At 35.6% G+C, this 22,219-nt stretch overlaps 1 protein-coding gene and 1 pseudogene across 53 annotated transcripts in view; both read right to left on the bottom strand.

Moving 5' to 3' along the window:
* The window catches only part of FAM135A (family with sequence similarity 135 member A), a 147,667-nt gene that overhangs the window by 28,303 nt on the left and 97,145 nt on the right, over nt 1–22,219 (bottom strand). For 18 of the 53 annotated variants that reach the window (XM_047419165.1, NM_001330998.3, NM_001105531.3 and 15 more), the window contains 4 exons: nt 10,286–10,359; nt 8,751–8,905; nt 6,174–7,941; nt 4,420–4,580 (listed from right to left, as the gene is read on the bottom strand). In XM_047419165.1, coding sequence (XP_047275121.1) covers nt 4,420–4,580; nt 6,174–7,941; nt 8,751–8,905; nt 10,286–10,359 — 2,158 coding nt within the window. Of the gene's footprint in view, nt 1–4,419; nt 4,581–6,173; nt 8,530–8,750; nt 8,906–10,285; nt 10,360–22,219 lie in introns of all 53 variants that reach the window. The other 35 variants (XM_047419158.1, NM_001351607.2, NM_001330999.3 and 32 more) reach the window with 4 other exon arrangements.
* RNU7-48P (RNA, U7 small nuclear 48 pseudogene) lies at nt 19,519–19,577 on the bottom strand (annotated as a pseudogene).

The following is a 22,219-nucleotide window of genomic DNA, read 5'->3' as shown; positions in this document are numbered from 1 at the left end:
CAACCTCCGCCTCCTGGGTTCGAGCGATTCTCCTGCCTCAAGCTCCCAAGTAGCTGGGACTACAGGTGCATCCCACCATGCCCAGCTAATATTTTGTATTTTTAGTAGAGATGGGGTTTCACCGTGTTAGCTAGGATGGTCTTGATCTCCTGACCTTGTGATCCGCTGGCCTTGGCCTCCCAAAGTGCTGGGATTATAGGCGTGAGCCACCGTGCCTGGCCAACAGTTTGTTTCTTAGGTGGTTTTGGTGGCTTTCACTTTTCTACCTAACAGTGTATTTATTTATCAAACTGTTAGCACATCACTTTGGTGACTCCCGGCTACAGTAGCTATAAATGGTGTCTTACCATCACCATTCTAGGTAATCATACAGCAAACTGTGAATGCATTTTAGATTTAATCTGTTGACCTTCCTTTGGTGATACTGGCACAGACTGAGAAAAATAAAAATCCATTTAAATATCTAAGAAAGTTTATTTTAATAATAATTAACTCAAAAGGCATCTACACATATACTTACAATACAGATATAAGACACAAGTGTTCTTCAAAAAGTTCATAGAAAATGCATCATAAAAAAAACTACGTATGGGTTTCAAAAATTTTTTACACCAAAATAAACACATACTAATTTGTTATAACATGTTTGAACAGAATCTAGTTTGAGGCACTAAGAAGGATAAGAAATCAGTTTGAGGCCGGGCACGGTGGCTCACGCCTGTAATCCCAGCACTTTAGGAGGCTGTGGCGGGTGGATCACGAGGTCAGGAGATCAAGACCAGCCTGGCTAACACAGTGAAACCCTACTAAAAATACAAAAAATTAGCCGTGTGTGGTGGCAGACGCCTGTAATCCCAGCTACTCGGGAAGCTGAGGCAGGAGAATGGTCTGAACCTGGGAGGTGGAGCTTGCAGTGAGCCGAGATCGTGCCACTGCTGACGGAGTGAGATTCTGTCTCAAAAAAAAAAAAAAAAAAAAAAAAAGAAATCAGTTTAAAAAGAAACCTTATCAAACAACATTCTGCTAAAATGGAAGCAAGAACAAACATCACACTTATGGTGAAGCTTCAGCGGAAGAATGGTGAAATAACGGAGGCTTTACAAAAAAGTTTATTGGGAAATGCCCCCAAAGAAATCAGCAGTTTACAAATGGGTAACTTGTTTAAAGAAGGGAAAAAACAATGTTGAAGATGAAGCATACAGCAGTAAACCACCCACATCAATTTGTGAGGAAAAACTTCATTTTGTTCATGCCCTAATTAAAAATGACTGACAATTAACAGCACAAACAATAGCTGACATCTTAGACATCTCAATTGGTTCAGCCTACAGAATTCTGACTGAAAAATTAAAGTTGAACAAACTTTCCACTCAATGGGTGTCAAAACCATTGTGCTCAAATTAGCTGCAGACAAGAGCAGAGCTTTCAATGGAAATATTAAACAAATGGTATCAAGATCCTAAAGCATTTCTTCAAAGAATTGTAAGAGGAAATGAAACATGGCTTTACCAGTATCATCTTGAAGACAAAACACAATCAAACCAATAGCTACCAAGAGGTAGAAGCGGTCCAGTCAAAGCAAAAGTGGACCAGTTAAGAGCAAAGGTCAAGGCAACAGTGTTTTGGAATGCTCAAGGCATTTTGCTTCTTGACTTTCTGGAGGACCAAAGAATGATAATATCTGCTTATCATTAGAGTGTTTTGAGAAAATCAGCCAAAGCTTTTGCAGAAAAATGCCTGGAAAAGCTTCACCAGAGAGTCCTTCTCCATCATGACAATATTCCTACTCATTATTCTCATGAAGAGGGCAATTTTGATGGGAAATCATTAGGCATTCATCTTACAGTCCTGATTTGGTTCCTCTGACTACTTTGTTTTCTTATCTTAAAAACTCTGTAAAGGGGATCCATTTTTCTTTGGTTTAATGTGTAAAAAAGAAGGCACTGACATGACTAAATTCCCAGGACCCTCAGTTCTTGGAAATTTACTAGAATGGCTGGTATAATTGCTTACAAAAGTGTCTTGAACTAGACAGAGTTTGCACTGAGAAATGAAGTTTATATTTCTATTTTTATCTTTTAACTCTATTTTTCCACAATTTTTGTTTGTTTGTTTGTTTGAGATGGAGTCTCACTCTGTTGCCCAGGCTAGAGTGCAGCGGCTCAGTCTTGGCTCATTACAACCTCTGCCTCCTGGGTTCAAGTGATTCTCCTGCTTCAGCCTCCCAAGGAGCTGGGATTATAGGCTGGCCAGCACCATGCCTGGCAAATTTATTTTTCCACATTTTTTCTGAATTCCTCTCATATATAAATATAAAAATAATTATCTTCAAAAATAGTTTAGTGGATTCCTTTGGTTTACTAACAATATAAGCATGTCGTTATAAACTGCTGAATTTTTATTTTACCTGATATTTATCTTTTAGAATTTTATGATTTAATGCATTGACAGAGATAATTCTTTTATTCTTCATTTTAAAAGTTGTACCTCTAATATTCACCAAAAACTATAAGTTTTCTATAGGCTCGAAATATATATGCTTAATCACATTAAGGAAATAGACTAATCCTATTGAGATCAAAGTTTTGTGCTTACTGTAATAATTAGGAATGGATATTAAATTTTATGAAGTTTCTTACTTGATTTGCTGATGTAGGGTATTTTATTACTGAAATTCCTTATACTTACTTATCCTTCCATTCTGGGAAATAAACCTTATTTGTTATAGTAACTTACTCTAATATATTAATTCCAAGTGCTAGAGTTTGGTTAAATATATTTGAATTCATTATTATTATTTTTTTTTTTGAGACGTAGTCTTAGTCTGTAGCCCAGGCTGAAGTGCAGTGGCGCGATCTCAGCTCACCGCAAGCTCCGCCTCCCAGGTTCATGCCATTCTCCTGCCTCAGCCTCCGGAGTAGCTGGGACTACAGGCGCCCGCCACCACGCCCAGCTAATTTTTTTTGTATTTTTAGTAGAGACGGGGTTTCACTGTGTTAGCCAGGATGGTCTTGATCTCCTGACCTTGTGATCCGCCCATCTCAGCCTCCCAAAGTGCTGGGATTACAGGTGTAAGCCACAGCGCCCGGCCCATTAAGTATATTTATGTCAGACTGGTCTACTGTTTTTTGGCGGCAGGTGTTGGTGTGATATCTTTATTGGATTTGGTAACAAGGTTAGGTTAACTTTAAGGAATAAAATGGGCTGCTTTCTATCTTTTTCTCCATTGTTCTAGAACAATTTATGTAACATAGGGATAATTTGCTTCTTAAAATTTTTAAAAAAGAATTTGCCAGAGATTCTGGCAGATTCTGGGTCCAGAAGTCTTTCTTGGGGGATAATTCTTTGAAGACTTTATTGTTTGGAGGGAGGGAAGAAAAGTTAGCATTGAGAATATTTTATTTCTTGAGAGTCTGGTTTTTTTTTTTTTTTTAAAGAAAAATCTCCAATTTTATGACAATTTAGTACCAGGGACATTTGTTTAATATTTTCATAATCCACAAAAATCTAGTTTGCTGCTATAGAATCTCATAATACAGTAATATTGCATTGTTCTAGAGATATTTGGCATCTTCTAACAGTTCCTACATCTAAAAAAAAACTGTTGAGTAACCAAAACAGCTGTCATAAAACCCCAGCACTAAAGCCAGGTACCTGTATTTATAATTTAATTTTTATAACTTAATTAATGAAATTTTAACTTCTAGAAATACCGATTTTTCTAGCACACAAAGTTTAAAGCAGCCAGGTAAAAGGGAACCAGAAAGACTATCAAAGGGAGACAAAATAACTGCCAGGAGGTGACAGCTGGCAAAACCAACAATAAGAGAGAAGATAAAAAAAAAAATCCACTGAGCTCAGGTCCTTTGCAGGGACATGGATGAAGCTGGAAATCATCATTCTCAGCAAACTAACACAGGAACAGAAAACCAAACACTACATGTTCTCACTTCTAAGTAGGAGGTGAACAATGAGAACAAATAGACACAGGGAGGGGGACAATCACACAATGGGGACTGTCAGGGGGTGGGGGACTAGGGGAGGGATAGCATTAGGAGAAATACCTAATGTAGATGACAGCAAACCACCATGGCACGTGTATACCTATGTAACAAACCTACATGTTCTGCGTATGTATCCCAGAACTTAAAGTATAATGAAAAAAAAAATCCCAAATTAAACAAAATGTTGGCACATGAGTGTCAGTTCCATGGAAAATTTACTTACGAAGGAATCTAATATTACACTTAGGATAATTAAAATTAAGCATATTTCTGTTTCAGAATGCATTTAAGATTCAATTAATTTAAGCAATTAAAAAATCTTTTTTTAGTTCAAAGACTAAATGAAACTAAATGAGATCTATTAGGAAAAAAATATATTGAGTTGCTCTGGGTTACATCCATAGATGTCACATACCATCTAAACCGTGCACACAGACAATCAGATGTACTCCATCTTCAGAACCATCCTCTTCTTCTACACTAAAATAAGGTACTGAGGATGCCAGCAGAGGAACTTCACTGTACATGAACCCAGGAAGTTTTAGTAGCTTCAGTTCTTCTTTTGCCTGAAGGAAGCTGAAGCAAAATACAAAAGATACTCTTTACTAAGGATCATATTCAGTTGTTAGAACCCTCCTGAATTTAGAGAATTGTAGAAGTGGAAACCCAACAATATTTGGTTTTAAAACCATGAAAATATGTGGCATCACCTAAGTGATTTAGAAATCAGAGAGTAATTTTCTTTATTATTTGTAGTACATATTCTATCAAATACAATGAACACTTTAAACCTGAAATCACTTGAAAATATTCTTTTAAACTTGAAATCAACTCTAAGAAAACATTCTGAGTGAAGTTATACTTTCTGCAAAATTTAACACTGTATGCACAGAAAAGCTGGGAGAGGGACTGGAGAGGTGATAATCTGATGTTTATCCTGTAATGAAATCTTATCCCCTTTGCTCCTTTTTAATCTTGCATAAATGGAAGGGAAGGAGTGATTTACAAAATGTAACAGTGAGAATGGAGTTACAGTATTTAGCAGATTAGGTTATTTGTATTTTTCTCTAAAAATACCAATAAGAAGGAGCAGAACGAAGAGGGGAATGTGACTGCATACAATTAGTGGTATATACTCGTTTGCAATGACGGACAATCTAACCAATTTGGGGATTGCAAACATCAAAAATTATTAACTATTTAACATACATCATTTGGACTGATAAAGTGAAGCTGGAAGAGGAACCTGATGAACACTAAACTGAGTAGGATAAGCTGGCCAAAAATATATAAAGTCTATATTAGAGATCATTGCTTTCTGATGACTCAGACAATCTGAAGTAACCAGACGGTGATATAAACTTTATTTTCCCTGCATATCACAATTTTTTAATTGGCTATTGTTACCTCAGTGGTTTCACTAGCTTTAGACACTATGTATCTTAATTTCTGTGTATAAATCAGAATAATCTGGGAACTTTAAAAATCTCTCTCTATATATATACATGCCAAGACCTCTTACCCCAAATATTATGACTCAGTCTGGCTGAGGCAATAGAATATTTTAAGAACCAGTGCACGCTGGTAAACCTGTATCATCGCCAGATTTTTCTGGATATTTTACTGGTACATGAAATCTCAATTCTGGAAACCAATGACTTAGCTGAAGGCAATCAGCATCTGGTAAGTTCAAGAAGTTTCCACTACCCTGTTACTCATTTAACTAATATTATCCTTATTTCCTAGATAAACTCATAAAACTTGGCTTTTGTCTGGAAGTTAATGGAGGAGAAATGAGGGACTGATGAAAAAAGGGTTTTAAGCTCAGTTATTCCATACTTCTAACACAAAACTACCATTGGAAAATCTGTATCAGGAATGTCTATCCTATAGAACAGCAGAACAGCACGATCATTCAGCAACTATAGGTCTGTCTGGCCAAGGGTATATTATGTTCATTTCTCCATTTCGGATAGTCATCAAAGAAGCACTTTTGTATTACAGAAACCAGACAACAAAATAGACACTCAATCCTTTAGCACTATCTATGATTTTATATATATATGTGTGTGTGTGTGTGTGTGTGTGTGTGTGTGTGTGTATGTGTGTGTGTGTGTATATATATATGTATATATTTAGCAGCAGGTACTATTACGTTCCATTACTTACGCTTGTATTTGAGGTTTTGGTGAACTTTCATACCAGGAAATCGAAGAAGTGAAGTTGTAAGAAGTACTGCTTGGCTGCTTTGTAATGGCATCAAATTTACTTTTGGAAGAATATTTAACATTACAAGGAGACTCTCGTGGTGCAGACGGGAAGGACAAACAACCAGAAGTACAGACAGTAGGCATGTTTATACCATCTCTCAGATAGTCACTGTTTATTTTTTCAGATTTTGTAAGTCTTTCTTCCATTAGTTCATCTCTGCTTGTATAGTGAGCATTTATTGTTCCATCCAAAGCTGAATAATCTGTTTCTTCATAGTACCCATTTTGAACCATTTGTTGATCCTGCTCTTCCTCCTCATCCTCTTTATCCTGTTCCTGCTGAAGATTACTAATTTCTTTTTCAGAAGTTTCCTTCTGAGGGCTAAGTGCATTGCTGTAGCTAACAGCACATGTGTCAGAAATATCCGTACTGCTTTGAGAACCAAAATAATTTTCCACAAGCCCTTGCTTTACTATATCAGTACTGGCTGAAAAAGGATCACTTGTACCCAGATGAGTTTCACTTTCAACTGTAGGGATTTCTGAATACATCTGTGTGAGATTTAATACATCACTATTTTTTTTCATAGTTCTATCTTCACTAACATCTGTATTACTAGAAATGGAACCTGAAATGACACAAGGAGTGCCTAAACAAATCAGTTTTGAATTTAATGTAATTGCTGTCCCTGTAGAGTTATTAGATTTATCAGGACTCTGGAAGCCTTTACACATAGTATCCAAGTTAGGTTTGGAGCTGCAACTACTTTTCACATCACTGGAAGTCTCTTCATCTGAAAAAACAAATTGTAAAGGGTCTTTAATGCTTGAATTTAAGGAATGTATTGCTACAGTTTCATTGTCCAAGTTCCCTGAAAATACAACACTCTGCTGTTGCAAAGTGATACTTGACTTTTTAGTATCATCACATTTTGGCAAATCAGTCGTTCCTAGATTTAATACAGTTTTGCTATCATTTAGATGGCATTCAGGTACAACAGATTTCTTAGAATTTTCATCAGGTGACAGTTCATCATCGGAGGGTAGAGAGTTTATGGATGTCAAAGATGACTGTATTTCACTTATAGCACTTGTACTCTCAGTACAATGATTTCCTAATGAAAATTTTACATTATAATCAGGTTTCATCAAAAGCTGAGGAAATAATCTTTCACTATTGCAAGGACCTTGCCCTTGCACAGTTTCAAAGACTAAATCAGTGTTTGGATGTGTCGCAAAAGAACTCGGTTCACTTTCAACACCTGAATCTGAAAATCTAGATGAGGCATATGTGGCACTAATATCTGGTAACTTAATTGTATCTCCACTTACTACAACATGATATTCTTTTGTAGAAGGGGCAGGTAGATTACTTCGTAATTTAGTTAATGATTCTCCAATAGAAAGACACTTTGCTTCTTGCAAAGCTTCCTTTTCAAATGTTATTTCTATAGATTTAGATTTACCATTAGATTCTAAGGACTCAAAGTTGGGTAGTAAATTATCCACAAGTATTTCCTCTTGTCGAAGCTCTGTCCAAGGTCCTAGTTTGACAGTTATATTCTCTCCACTGAAAGGATCTTTATTACTGGGCTTTATTTCAATTGTTCTAACTCCCAAAGATGGGGTTGTTTGATGATCATGGCAATCGTCTGATGACCTTCTGGATGCCAGATTGTGTTCCATTTGTGTAATTTCACTATCGTCCTGGGAGATATCAAGTTTACCTGAAATGGACAAATTTGCACAAAGATTTAGGTTGCCAGAGTTCAAAGGATCAAACTGGTCTGGTTGAACATTTTCAATATCTGGAGACTTTTGTTCAGTTCTCTCTGTATTAGTTGGCAAACAGCTAGCTTCCTTTTGACTTGTCTGTCTCATGTAGGTCTTTGGGTCAAAATTATATCCACATATTGTGGGATCCAGACCTTCCTTCTGACTATGTGAAGGATTGCCTTCAAAGCATTTAATGAGATCATTTGATGCTGTACTTTTCAAACATTTGTAGCCTACCAAAACCACAGAATCCTTAGAGTTCTGTTTTATTAATTTTTTTGTGTTTTCAGATTTCATTGTTTTCATAAGCTTAGTAACCTTAACTTTGGATTTATTTGATTCTTCATTCTTTCCTTTTAGAGATTTTGTTAGCTGCTTTTCACCTTCTGTATACCAAATACTGGAGGCACCAGCAGGTCTGACTTTCAACTCTGGGCTAGAAAGTCCTGCTACAGAGCTTTCTTCAGTCTCATATTTATCCATTTTACTGGACTCTGATCTCTGAAGATTCTGAATTCCCATCCAGGGTGCATCTAAGTCTTTTATCCAAAGAAAAAAAGATTCAGGTTTAAAACAAGGTGTGAGAACTCATATGATTAAGACTTCTTTTTCTAACTATAACTTCTAATATCCTCAAACATAAATAAAACTAGAGAGGGAAAAAAACTATTCCACATTAGGGAATGGTTTTATGTATATTAGGAAGAATATACTGAAAACTATACACATAGCTTGTATATTTTAGTTAGATTACACTTACCTTCAGTAACTGAATCTAAATACCTATCTTCAAAGATTATAGGTAATGAATTGAGATCTCCATCTAATTCACTACATTCAATAGGTAAGGGTGGAAGAGAACTGCAGAAGGAAGTATTTTTGATAGCGGTGCACATCTGTAGATGACTCTGAGCACTGAAAAATATTTCTTCAGTCAGATTGTAATTTAGAAAAATTATACCCAACTCCCCTTTGTAGAATCTACCCTTTCCCCTTCCCTCCTCAATTCCTATCCCTCATCTGCAAGACATAACCTTCTTATGAGAGAGCTGCTTGGTCAGCGATAAAAACTGGTAAAATGAAAATGATAGTTTGTTGGCAATAAATTATTGACTTATTAAATTACAGACTGCTAATTATTTATGTAATTCCCATTATATTCTTCCATACTTTCTTATGTTATTTTAAAGTGAATTTCTATGCTTAATGTCTCAACTTCTAAATCTGCTGCAAATCACATATAAGAGAAATACCAAAAGCTTAACTGCTTAATAATTATTTGATGCTAGTGCTGGGAAAAAGACGTGTTTCATTTCTACTGTTTCTACTTAACATATATTGACAAATAAAATTAACAGCTATTTTAAAACAAGATGTATAATTTTCTAATACAAAACAGTTAAAACAGAAAACCCTGTCTTATGGAAAATTTCAAACAAATCAAAGAATAGTATAAAATACCCCATATACATACCTCCGAACTTCAACAGTTAACATATACCCTTTCTATCAGCACTCACTACCTACCCTGATACTCTATTATTATTTACAGGATTTTTTTTGTGGTATAATTTATATGCATTAAAATATAAATCTTAGCTGTATGCTTTTGACAAATGGATATATGATACAGAACATTTCCATCTACTCAGATGGTTCCCTCATGTCTTCCCAATCCAGCACAAGTCAATGCCAAGAAAACCATGTCCTGTCTTTTTTCCATCTTGCTTTTGCTTGTTTATAACTTCATATAAGTAGAATCATACAGTATTCAATTTTTAATGTCTAGCTTTTTTTGCTCAGCATAATGTCCTCAAAATATTCCTTAATGCCAAAGAAAACCAGGACTAAATCTACTCAGTAGGAAAGATAGAAGGCATTTGTTCTGGATATTTTAATTGTAAATCATTTACAATTACAGAAGACAGTATATATGAAAATCTGTAATAAAAAAGGATGAACATAAGAAATTCTGGCCTGTGAAAATAAAGACAGAATATGGCTAAATGGAAGGCTACAGCCAAAGCTGTATGAGACTACCAAGATTATGGTAGATCTGATAAAAAAGGAGGGAGGAATACAGTGCATTATGCTTCTTTATATGTAAAGTATGGAACTTTAATGAAGTAACTAATAAGATGAAACAATTTGATTATAGATGGGATTTCTGAAATTCAAATTCTCCTAATTTCTTATATTGTTAATACTGTATATTCTGTCACTGATAAATTCTGAGACAGGTATCTTATGTAAAAGGAAGTAATATCATTTTAATTTTGAATTTATACTACTCACTGAAGTTCCTGGTATGCAATGGCAGCTTCTCTTGGATGCTCAAAACAAAAGAATGCCTCAGAAAATCTGCGTACCTAAAAAATTCCAAAGGAGAGTATTAATAACATGACGTATTTAAAAAGTCAATCCGGCATCTTATGGTAAGGAGAGAAACTGCCTCCATTACGCCTTCCACAATCACCCGTCAGAATTAAACTTCCCTTCTCCCTCTTCAGTGTTGCCAATGTATTTTTGTACTGCATGAAATAAATCTGGAAAGCATATATAAATATAAACTATTATGATTACCACCATAGCCTTTACCACCTTTTGTCTTAAAATAAATCATCTCCCCTCCTAAAGTGTAATGTTCTTTAGAAGAGAAGCTATGGGCCAGGCGTGGTGCCTCACACCTGTAATCCCAGAACTCTGGGAGGCTGAGGTGGGTGGATTACCTGAGGTCAAGAGTTCGAGACCAGCCTGGCCAACATGGTGAAACCCTGTCTCTACTAAAAACACAAAAATTAGTGGGGCATGGTGGCAGGTGCTTGTAATCCCAGCTACTCAGGAGGCTGAGGCAGGAGAATCGCCTGAACCCAGGAGGCAGGGGTTGCAGTGAGCCAAGATGGCGCCCTTGCACTCCAGCCTGGGCGACAAGAGTGAAACTCCTGTCTCAAAAAAACAAAACAAAAAAAAGGCAAAGCTATGTTTTGATGACCTTTGCATCCCCACAAAACATGTATCTTGGCATATTACAGAATCAAGTACTTGATAAATACATGTTGAATCTAGCTGAACATTTCTTCCATTATATTTGTATTTTAACCCTTTCATTTTTAATTATGAAAGGAAAGGCTTTGTCAGCTACTGGAGCAAAATTAGGCAACAGGAGCCAGAAAAGATGTCTTATTTGGACAGTACAGGGAGGAGAAATTATATTACATCTACAATTATTTTCTAAACAAAGTAAGATCTAGGATTCTTTGGTTTTAAATGTCCAACAAATTAGAGACCTATTTTACTTGTCATCAATATCCGGCCAGGTGAATTTCTGACTTACTAAACTTGTTTCCCTAAGCAGATAAACCTGGGTCTTCAGACAAACAAGTCAATGAGGGAAGTGGGAAAAGAAGATATCAATGAGAAGGATGCATTCTGTGTCTTTACTTTCATATGTGGTCCAAATGCTTTTTTCCCCTCTCCAACATTAAAGGAAAGGTGAGAGAAAAATAACAGCCTGTCTGGCTATTAAGATGATTTCCTTTGGGGCTATAAAGCATGAAAAAAACGCATCTTTAAGTTATCTGGATTCCTGCAGTTGCAGCTGGACCTACGAAACTGGCGCTAGCTGCTTTTCCTTCTCTCTCTACCTTCTCTAAGTCCTACAATAATGATCATTTCTTGACAGTACTCTACCTCATAGTCTCCACACTAAAAACTTTATTCTAATTCTTTGACTTAAACCACATAAAAACTCAATGTCAAATTGAATGATGAAGAAAAAACAAACAAAAAAAAACCTCTAGGATGATATTATCTTCATTTAATAGGTGAGGAAACAAAGACACAAAGAGGTTAATTATTTGGCCAAGATAACATAGCTAGTAGGCGATAAACCTGTGATTCAAACGAAGATTTGAGAAACTCCAGTTCTTGTGCTCCAAACACTTACCTTTTCCTTTCTGCATTAAGACTCCTTGTTATCAGAAATCTTTCTTGTATGCACCCAAATGAAGTTCTTTCTAAATTCACTCTCAGCATAATTATCATGCTGTAGCTATTACAACTAAGGGTATTAACTGTAGTGTGTGGCCATAACTAAGGTATGACTGCCACCTGATGGCAATACAGCTAATTTTCAGGCAAAAGTTTGACAGAAAAAAATTTTTAATTTACAAATTTAAATTTCAAATATGGGGAATATATATATTACTGCTTTGTATATGTATGTATTTTGGCATGCATTTTTGATATTTATAAAAAATGAATTTTGTGTGCCCAATTAAAAAAAAACTTATTTGGCAACATCACTTATTCAAAAGCTAGGAGGAAGACAGCCAAGCATTCAAAATAAGTATTTGTTAATGCTTCACAGAGTTAAATACTCCTGTATCTGTGTTCATTCTAATAATGCTGTTCAAATTGCTAACACAGTATTTATATTACAATTCTATACATGTGCATTCAGATTAGATTCTAATCTTGAGTGCAGGGTCTATATCTGATAGATTATCTAATATCTATGCTACCTTGAAAAAAATAAGCACCTTGCAAATGTTTACTGAACAAATGTTTTTTACGTCCTTGCACTAACTCATAGCAAAATTATCATAAAATTGTTTCATTACAAAGCTGATTTATACTTACTAGTTGATACAATTGCACTTGGTTTCAGTTATTTGCTTTCCCAATCCACACCACATTAAAAGAGCAAATTAGACAAAGAAAAATGAATTACAGAGGTAAGTACACAGGCAGTTACAAGAAATGATGAGAACGTGATGAAGAAATATCCGTCCTTAAAAAAAAAGCCTAGAATTCCCCTATAAAAGATCACACAAAATAAATAAAAAATTAATACTTGAGGTCTTTTAATGGATATTCCAATATCCTGGCATTTTTAATAATATGGAATACTAGTGCATTAAAAGCTGAGCACATTAAATAAAATTCACAACTAAATTATTATCATATATATCATATCATACCTATACTAAAGTATGTTTAGTATAGGCATGCCTTGGAAATATTATGGGTTAGGGTCCAGACCACCACAATAAGGTGAATATTGCAATAAAGCAAGTCACATGAATTTTTTCAGTTTCCCAGTGTGTATAAAAGTTATGTTTACACTATACTGTAGTCTCTTAAGTGTGCAATAGCATTATACCTTTTTTAAAAAAGCCAATGTGTATACTTTAAAAATATTTTATTGTTAAAAATGCTAATGATCATCTGAGCCTTCGGCTACTTTTGCTGCTGGAAGGTCTTGCCTTGATATTGATAGCTGCTGATCAGGGTGGCTGCAGTGGCTATGGCAATTTCTTAAATTACAACAATGAAGTTTGCTGCATCAATTGACTCTTCCTTTCACAAAAGATTTCTCCTTAGCATGTGATGCAGTTTAACAGCATTTTACCCAGAGTAGAACTTCAAAATTGAGTCAATCCTCTTGACTCGCCACTGCTTTTTCAACTAAGTTTATGTAATATTCCAAATCTTTTGTTATTTCAACAATGTTCGCAGCATCTTCACCAGGAGTAGAGTCTATCTCAAGAAACCACTTTCTCTGTTCATCCATAAGAAGCAACTCTTCATCTATTCAAGTTTGATAATGAGATTGCAGCCATTCAGTCACATCTTCAGGCTCCACTTCTAATTCTAGTTCTCTTGCTATTTATACCACATTTGCAGTTATTTTCTCCACTCGTCGTGACCCCTTCAAAGTTACCTATGAGGGTTAGAATCAACCTCTTCCAAACTTCTGTTCATGTTGATATTTTGACCTCCTTCCTTGAATCATGAATGTTCTTAATGGCATCTACAACGGTGATTTTTTCCCAAAAGTTTTCCTTTTGCCCAGATCCACCAGAGGAATCACCATCTGGGGCAGCCAACACCTTACAAAATGTATTTAAGTAATAAGGTTTGAAAGTCAAAATGACTCATGCATCACATGGGCTGAAGAATAGATCGTTGTGTTAGTCCACATGGAAACATCGTTAATCTCCTTGTATATCTCCATGAGAGGTCTTGGCTGAGTAGGTGCAATATTAATGAGCAATAATATTCTGAAAGGAATCTTTTTATTCCTGAACTGTAGGTCTCAACAGTGGGCTTAAAATATTTAGTAAACCATGCTGTAAACAGATGTGCTGTAATCTAGGCTTTGTTGTTTTGTTAATGCAGCAGAGTAGATTCTGCATAATTCTCAAGAGCTCTAGAATTTAGGAATGGTAAATGAGTACTGGCTTCAACTTCAAGGCACCAGTTACATTAGCTCCTAACAAGAGAGTCAGCCTGCCCTTTAAAGTCATGTACTGATTTCTCTTTTCTAGCTATGAAAGTCCTAGATGGCATTTTCTTCTACTAGAAGGCTGTTTTATCTCCATTGAAAACCTGTTGTTTAGTGCAGCCACCTTCATCAATTATTTTTGCTAGATCTTCTGGATAATGTGCTGTAGCTTCTCCATCAGAACTTGCTGCCTTACCTCACACTTTTATGTTATGGAGACTTCCTGCCTTAAACCTCAACACCCAATCTCTGCTAGTTTCAAATTTTTCTTCTGTAGCTTCCTTACCTTTCAGCCTTCATAGAATTGAAAAGAGTTAGGACCCTGCTGTGGATTAGGCTTTGACTTAAGGCACTGTTGTGGCTGGTTTGATCTTCTATCCAGAACACTCAATCTTTTCCCACATCACTACTAAGGCTGTTTCACTTTCTTATCGTTCCATTAGAAAAGCATTTCAATTTCCTTCAATAACTTTTCCTTTACATTCACAAGTTGGCTAACTGGTGCAAGAGACCTACCTTGCAGTCTATCTTGGCTTTCGACATGCCTTCCTCCCTAAGCTTAATCATCTCGAGCTTCTGATTTAAATTGAGAAACTTGCAACTTTTCCTCTCACTTGAACACTTAGAGATCATTGCATATTAACTGGCCTAATTTAAATATTGCTGTTTCTCAGGGAATATGGAGACCCAAGTAGAGGAAGAGAGATGAAGGGAATGCTAGTTGGTGAAACAGTCAGAACAAACACAACATGTATTAAGTTCACTGTCATATATGGGCACAACTGTGGTGCTTCAAAACAATTCCAATAGTAACATCAAAGATTATGGTTAGAATATTTAAAGAAAAAAAATTACCCATTAAAGATCACACTACTGGCTGGGCATGGGGCTCATGCCTGTAATCCCACCACTATGGGAGGCCGAGGCAGGTGGATCACCTGAGGGGAGGAGTTCGAGACCAGCCTAACCAACACGGTGAAACCCTGTCTCTACTAAAAATACAAAAATTAGCTGGACATGGTGGCAGGCACCTGTAATCTCAGCTAATTAGGAGGCTGAGGCAGGAGAATTGCTTGAACCGGGGAGGCAGAGGTTGCAGTGAGCTAAGATCGTGCCATTGCACTCCAGCCTGGGTGACAAGAGCAAAACTCCATCTAAAAAAAAAAAAAAAAAAAAAGGAAAAAGACGTGCACACCACCATGCCTGGCTAATAGTTGTATTTTTTGTAGAGATGAGGTTTCCCCATCTTGCCCAGGCTGGTCTGGAACTCCTGGGCTCAAGTGATCCACTCACCTCAGCCTCCCAAAATGTTAGCATTATTGGCATAAGCCACCATCCCCCACCTGGATAGACTTATTTACTGGAAGTGCTAGATGTGGTTTGTATATATACACATAAAGGTGATAAAATATTGTTTATGCTTATAGTTATAGCCAAATTGGAAGTCTGCCTAAACCTTGCGAAATATAAAAGCATCAAATTATATACTATAAATAAGCAATATGTTCCCAGAAAGAAGTACTTTTAATTTATTTAGAAAATAGACATTCACAGTTATACTCAAAGAATATCAGATCAAGTAGTTTAAGCAATAAGTATCTCTTCTTAAAAATGCAAACTTCATAATGTTTTGAGTAAATAATGCATCATTGTAAAGAGGTTCTTAAAGTGGAAAAGAATGGCTATACAAGCTATTCCTAACTTTTCCCCTCTACTAGAATATAAGTTCCATCAATACTGTTGAAAATACTATTTTATGGCTGGGCACGGTGGCTCACACCTGTAATCCCAGCACTTTGGGAGGCCGAGATGGGCGGATCACAAGGTCAGGAGATCGAGACCATCCTGGCTAACACGGTGAAACCTCATCTCTACCAAAAATACAAAAAAATTAGCCAGGCATGGTGGCGAGTGCCTGTAGTCCCAGCTACTTGGGAGGCTGAGATGGAGAATGGCGTGAACCCAGGAGGCGGAGCTTGCAGTGAGCCGAGGTCACGCCACTGCACTCCAGCCTGGGTGACAGAGCAAGACTCTGTCTCAAAAAAAAAAAAAAAAAAAAAAAGAAAAGAAAATACTATTTTATGATATTAAAATCTCAATAAAAGCTAATAAGAATTCACTGACACTCTGGTTTCCTTACTGGAAGGTAATGGGTCCACATTAGAATCTAGGATCCTGCTAATCCATATGGCAGCTTTAAAGTATAAATTTCAAAAACATGCTCCTTCTACAGGCAGATGCAACTAGACTCCAAGGAGGACAGGCCAAATTTCAGTTCCCACTCTTTCTAGCACAGTTACTCAGGGATACCCTAACCCTGTTAATCACTTGCACAACTTTTAAAAAGTTCCCTAGGTCTGGACCTCATTCAGCACTGATCTAAGTTCCCAAGAAATTCAAATGTACAGCCGGGGCTGAAAACTTCTATTTTAATGTCAACTGAGACCATGAGAGGAGAACTTACCCTCTTCCTTCTGCAAACAACTGTAAAACTGGTTAAAATACATGAAGTGACTTTTTCAAGCACTGAGGAACAAGCACTAGACAGGCAAAGCATCAGGAAAATATAATCTACAATCGAGATAAAATCAGCCAATAGAAAGAGACACCAAGATAATTGAAATGTTTGAATAAGTAGGCAATTTTTTAAAAAGTTACTTTATTTTTTTTTTACAGCAGTTTTAGGTTTACAGAAAAACTGATCAGAAAGTACGAAGAGTTTCCATATTGCCCTCTTCCCCACCCCTACACATCCAGCTTCCCCTCTTATTTACATCTTGTGTTACTGTGGTACATTTGTTTCAACTGATGAACCAATATTAATATATCAATATTAAAGTCCATTATTTACATTAAGGTTCACTCTTGGTGTGGTACATGGGGCTTGAAAAATATATAATGACATATATATACCATTACAGTATCATACAGAATACTTCTACTGCCCCCCAAATCCCCTGTGCTCTACCTACCTGTCCCTCCCTCTGTCCCCCAGAGCCCCTGACAACCCGGATCTTTTTACTGTCACCATAGTTTTTCTTTTTCCAGAATGTCGTATAGTTGAAATCATACATATATGTAGATTTTTCAGGTTGGCTTCTTTCAGCCTGCAATATGCTTTCAAGTTTCCTCTATGTCTTTTCATGGCTTCACTGATCATTTCTTTTTATTGCTAAATAACATTCCACTGTATGAATGGACAACAGTTTGTTTATCCAGTTACCTACTGAAGGACATCTTGGTTGCTTCCAAATTTGATGATTATGAATAAAGCTGCTATATGTGGAGGTTTTTGTGTGGACATAAATTTTCAATTCATTTGGGTAAACACCAAGCGGTGTGATAGCTGGATTATATGATGAGAGTATGTTCAGTTTTGTAAGAAACTACCAAAGTGTCTTCCAAAGTGGCCATCCTATTTTGTGTTCCTACCAGGAATGAATGGGAATTCCTGTTGCTCCACATCTCACCAACATTTGCTGTTGTCAGTGTTTTGGATTATAGCCATTCTTATAGGTATACGGTGGTTATCTTGTTTTGATTTGTAATTCTCTAATAACATATGATAACGGATATTTTATTTCCCCCATACAGAAGGCTAGAGTTGGATATTTCTCTTCCTCCCAGGTCAGTGAAGCTCTGATAAGATAGTTTCTACTGAGGCACATTTTGTTAAGGACAGAATGTTCTGGATGTATTTCAAAATGGCTACATTCCCTCCCCACCATCTGGAAGTATGAGGGCTTTTCTGCAATTTTCACTGAAAGAAACTGGGAGGGCTCTTGGAAGTGAAAGTCATGAAAAGTATGGGATCCCCTAAGACCTCCCTCACCCCTGCCAGGAGTTTTTAACTCATCTGTCCATACTGAGTCTCCAGGAATCATCAATTAGAAGTTTTCCTATTGCAGGACTGGCTACAGTGGTGATTTCTGTTCATGGGTTTTTGTTCCATTAAGATGGGATTCTCTGTAACTGGCTATCTGACTCACCAATTTTGGGGACAGGAGTTTGCCTGTGACCTTAATTCTCCGATAAATCTAAGAAGAGTTGTTGATTTTTCAGTTCGTTCAGATTTTTTCTGGTTAGGATGGGAGTAACAACTTCCAAAGCTCTTCCATGCTGGCTCAGAAACTAGAATTCTAAGCAAGGACTTTTAAACAATAATTATAAATTGCCCAATGACTGAAAGAAGCTGGTCATAAACAGTAAACAGACAGGGCTTCTCAGCATAAAAATGGAAGTATTATACGTGAAGAGAACCAAATGGAAATTTAAGAAGTAAAATATATAATATCTGAAGTGAAATTTTACTAGATGAGATTAAGAGCAGATTAGTTGCTACAGAAAAGAGTTAATGAATCTGAAGACAGAATAACAGAAATTATTCAGTCTGAAGAACATAGAGGATAAATTGCTGAAAAACAAGAGTATCAAATGATATAATATACATATAATTAGAGTACTAGAGGGAGAAGGGAGGGAAAGAAATGGGGCAGAAAATATATCTGAAGATATAATAGCAAATCTCTTTAAAACTGATAAAAATAACCTAGAGCTCCAAGAATATCAGCAAATCCTAAGCAAGATAAAGACAAAAAAAAACAAACAACAACAAAAACAATAAAACTGCAACAAGGCATATCATAGTCAAACTGCTGGAAAACAAAGACAAGGAGAAAAATCCTAAAGGCAGCCAGAGGGGAAAAATAGTATAAATAACTGACTTTTTAATCAGACTACAGAGGCCAGAAGATAATGGTACTTTTTAAAGTACTCAAACAGAGGGAGAAAACTGTCAGTCCAAGGTTAAATAACGCTATTGACCAACTTGAGCTGATTGAGATTTATAGAATACTCTACCTAAAAAATTTAGCAAAGCAATAAAGTATAAGGTCAATATGCAAAAATCAATTATACTTCTACATCCTAGTAGCAACCATTTGGAAAATAAAATTTAAAAACCATTTATAATAGTATCAGATAATATAAAATGCTTATGAGTAAACTTCAGGCATAAAAACTACAAAAGCAGGTTTTAGAGAAATTGAAGGTCTAAATAAAAGGGGAGCTAGATAGGAAGCTATATCATGCCCACAAATTGTCCGAATCAATATGGTTAAGGAGGTAATTGTCCCTAAATTGATCTATAGATTTTACTTAATGTAAACTGAAATCCCAAGAGGATTAAAAAAAAAAAAAAAAAAGAAATTGACATGATTTAAAATTTTCTGTGGAGGAAGGTTTTCCAATAAAAACCAGAAAACCTGCTAGACAAATTCTAAAAGAGCTGTTAACACTTGATTTAAAATTTATATAGAATTGCAAGAGATCTAGAATAGCCAAAACAATCTCAAAAAAGAAGAAAACCTTGGAGGACTTATGCTATTACCTGGCTGCAAGACTTAGTATAATATTATAACAATAAAGTTAGTGTGGTATTTATTAACATAGAGATGTATAACAGGCCAATGCAACAGGAAAAAAGGTCAAGAAATAGACTCATGCTTATTAGTCAATTGATTTTCAACAAAGATTTTAAGGCAATTCCATAGAGTCAGAAAAGTGTTTTCAATAAATGATGTCAAAAACCTGAACAGAAAAAAAAAAGAAAGAATCTTGACCCATACACCTCACACCAAATTAAAAAATTAATTCAAGATGACCCATGGTCCTAAATGTAAGATCTATAATTCTAATGCTCTCTAAAGCAAATACAGAATAATATTTTTCATGACTTGGGCAAAGATTTCTTAGGACACAAAAGTACTAAACATAAAAGAAAAAAAGATAAATTGTACTTAGTCTCATCAAAATACATCACTGAGAAAACGAAAATATAAACCTCAGGCTAGGAGAATTTAATAAATATATTTGACAATGGATCCATAACTAGAATATATATAAATAATCTTAATAAGTCAGTAATAAAAAGGCAACCTAATTTAACATTTTACAAAACTAAAGTCATAACAAAAACCCTCAATATCAGGAGTCAGCAGAGAAAAGCAAAATAAAGCCATAATGAAATTCCACTTTACCCCTACTATAGTAGTTAAAGACTGACGACACCAAACAATACAAGCATGTGGAACAACTGAAACTCTCATACGTTAATGTTAGGAGTTTAAAACTGTATAGCCATTTTGGAAAAAAAAATGATTTTTTATTAAGTTGAAGATAAATCTACCCAATGACCAAGCAATTTTACTCCTATGTATGTAAGCAATAGAAATAAAAACTTATGTTCACAAAAAAGATCTGTAGAAGAATGTTCGTAGCATCTTTACTCAGAAGAGTTAAGGGGAACAGATAAATGAATTCTGATATACGATACCATAAAATACTACTCAACGATAAAGAAATGAACTACAAATATATACAACATGGGCTAATCTAAAAGAAATTATGTTGACTGAAGTAAATGAAAATTCTATTTCTAATCAAGACAGTAGTTGCTTATGGGGTGTAGGAACTGACCGAAAAGCAGCACAAAGTCATTTTGTGAAGTAATGAAATAATTTTCTTGAAGTATTGAGTAGTTTTCAAAATATGTTATAATGATAATTCAGTAAGTTCATATAGTCATGCTCCACATAATGACGTTTAAGACAATGATGGATCGCGTATAGGATGGTCTCCCCTAAAATTACAATGCCATATTTTTACTGTACCTTTTCTATGTTTAGATAGGCTTAGATACACAAATACCACTGTGTTGCAACACAGTATTCAGTACAGTCACATGCTGTACAGGTTTGTAGCGTAGGAGTAACAGGCTGTATTATCTAGTTTAGGTGTGTAGCAGGCTATACTATCTAGCTTTGGGTAGTATATTCTATGATGTTCTATAGTATATTCTATAATGTTCACACAATGATGAAATCACCTAACAAAGCATTTTCCAGAAAGTATCCTAATCATTAAGTAACACAAGACTGTACAAGTGTTTATACAACCTAGATCTCCTGAATATAAAGATTCTGGGCTTTGGCCTCTCTGAGGACTCTCAATTTTTTAAAAAATCAAATATATCCTGATATCAGGCAAGAAAATCTATGGTAACATAGATATACACTAATTAAATTGAGATTAGAAATCCTTTTCTCTCCCCCTTACCATGTGGATTTTTTCCATTGCATGTAATAAGTATTCCAAGAAAACTGTATTAGTAGCAGATATAAGCACAATACTTTCTCTCAAGGGTTACCTTATATCTTTAAAATTTTTTATCATGACGATAACTGCTGAATATATTTATCTTAATTTACAGGATTTCTTTTACTGGGGAAAAATAAATTTAAGATTTTTCCTGCTGCCCTGATGTCCTGTGCACCAAAGAACATTATCAAGAGAGCTAAAAAGCAACTCATAGAATAGAAGAAAACATTTGCAAATTATGTATCAGATAAGGGCCTAGTTACCAGAATATATAAATAACTGAAACTCAACAACAAAAAGACAAACAACCCAATTAAAATATGGGGAAAGGACCTGAATACACATTTCTCCAAAGGAGATACACAAATGGTAAATAAGCATATGAAAAGGTGTCCAAGGTCACTAGTCATTAGGGTACTGCAAATCAAAGCTACAATGAAAATACCATCTCACTCTTACTAGGTTGGCCATGATAAAAACCCCAAAACAAAAAGCAGAATATAACAAGTGTTTGTAAGTATATGAAGAAATTAGAATCCTTGTACATTGCTGGTGGGAATGTAAGGTGGTGCAGCTGCTGTGGAAAACAGTTTGGATGTTCCTCAAAAAGTTAAACATAGAATTACCATATGACTCAGCAATTCCACTCCTAGGTATATACCCCAAATAACTAAAAACAGATATTCAAACAAATATTTGTACACAAATTTTCATACCAGCAACTATTCATAGTAGTCAATAGGTAGAAAGAACTTAAATGTCTATCAATGACAAACAGATAA

The sequence above is a fragment of the Homo sapiens genome, chromosome 6 (genome assembly GCF_000001405.40).
Source record: "Homo sapiens chromosome 6, GRCh38.p14 Primary Assembly".
NCBI classification, from domain to species: Eukaryota; Metazoa; Chordata; class Mammalia; order Primates; family Hominidae; genus Homo; species Homo sapiens.
This window is presented reverse-complemented; position numbering and strand designations above follow the sequence as displayed.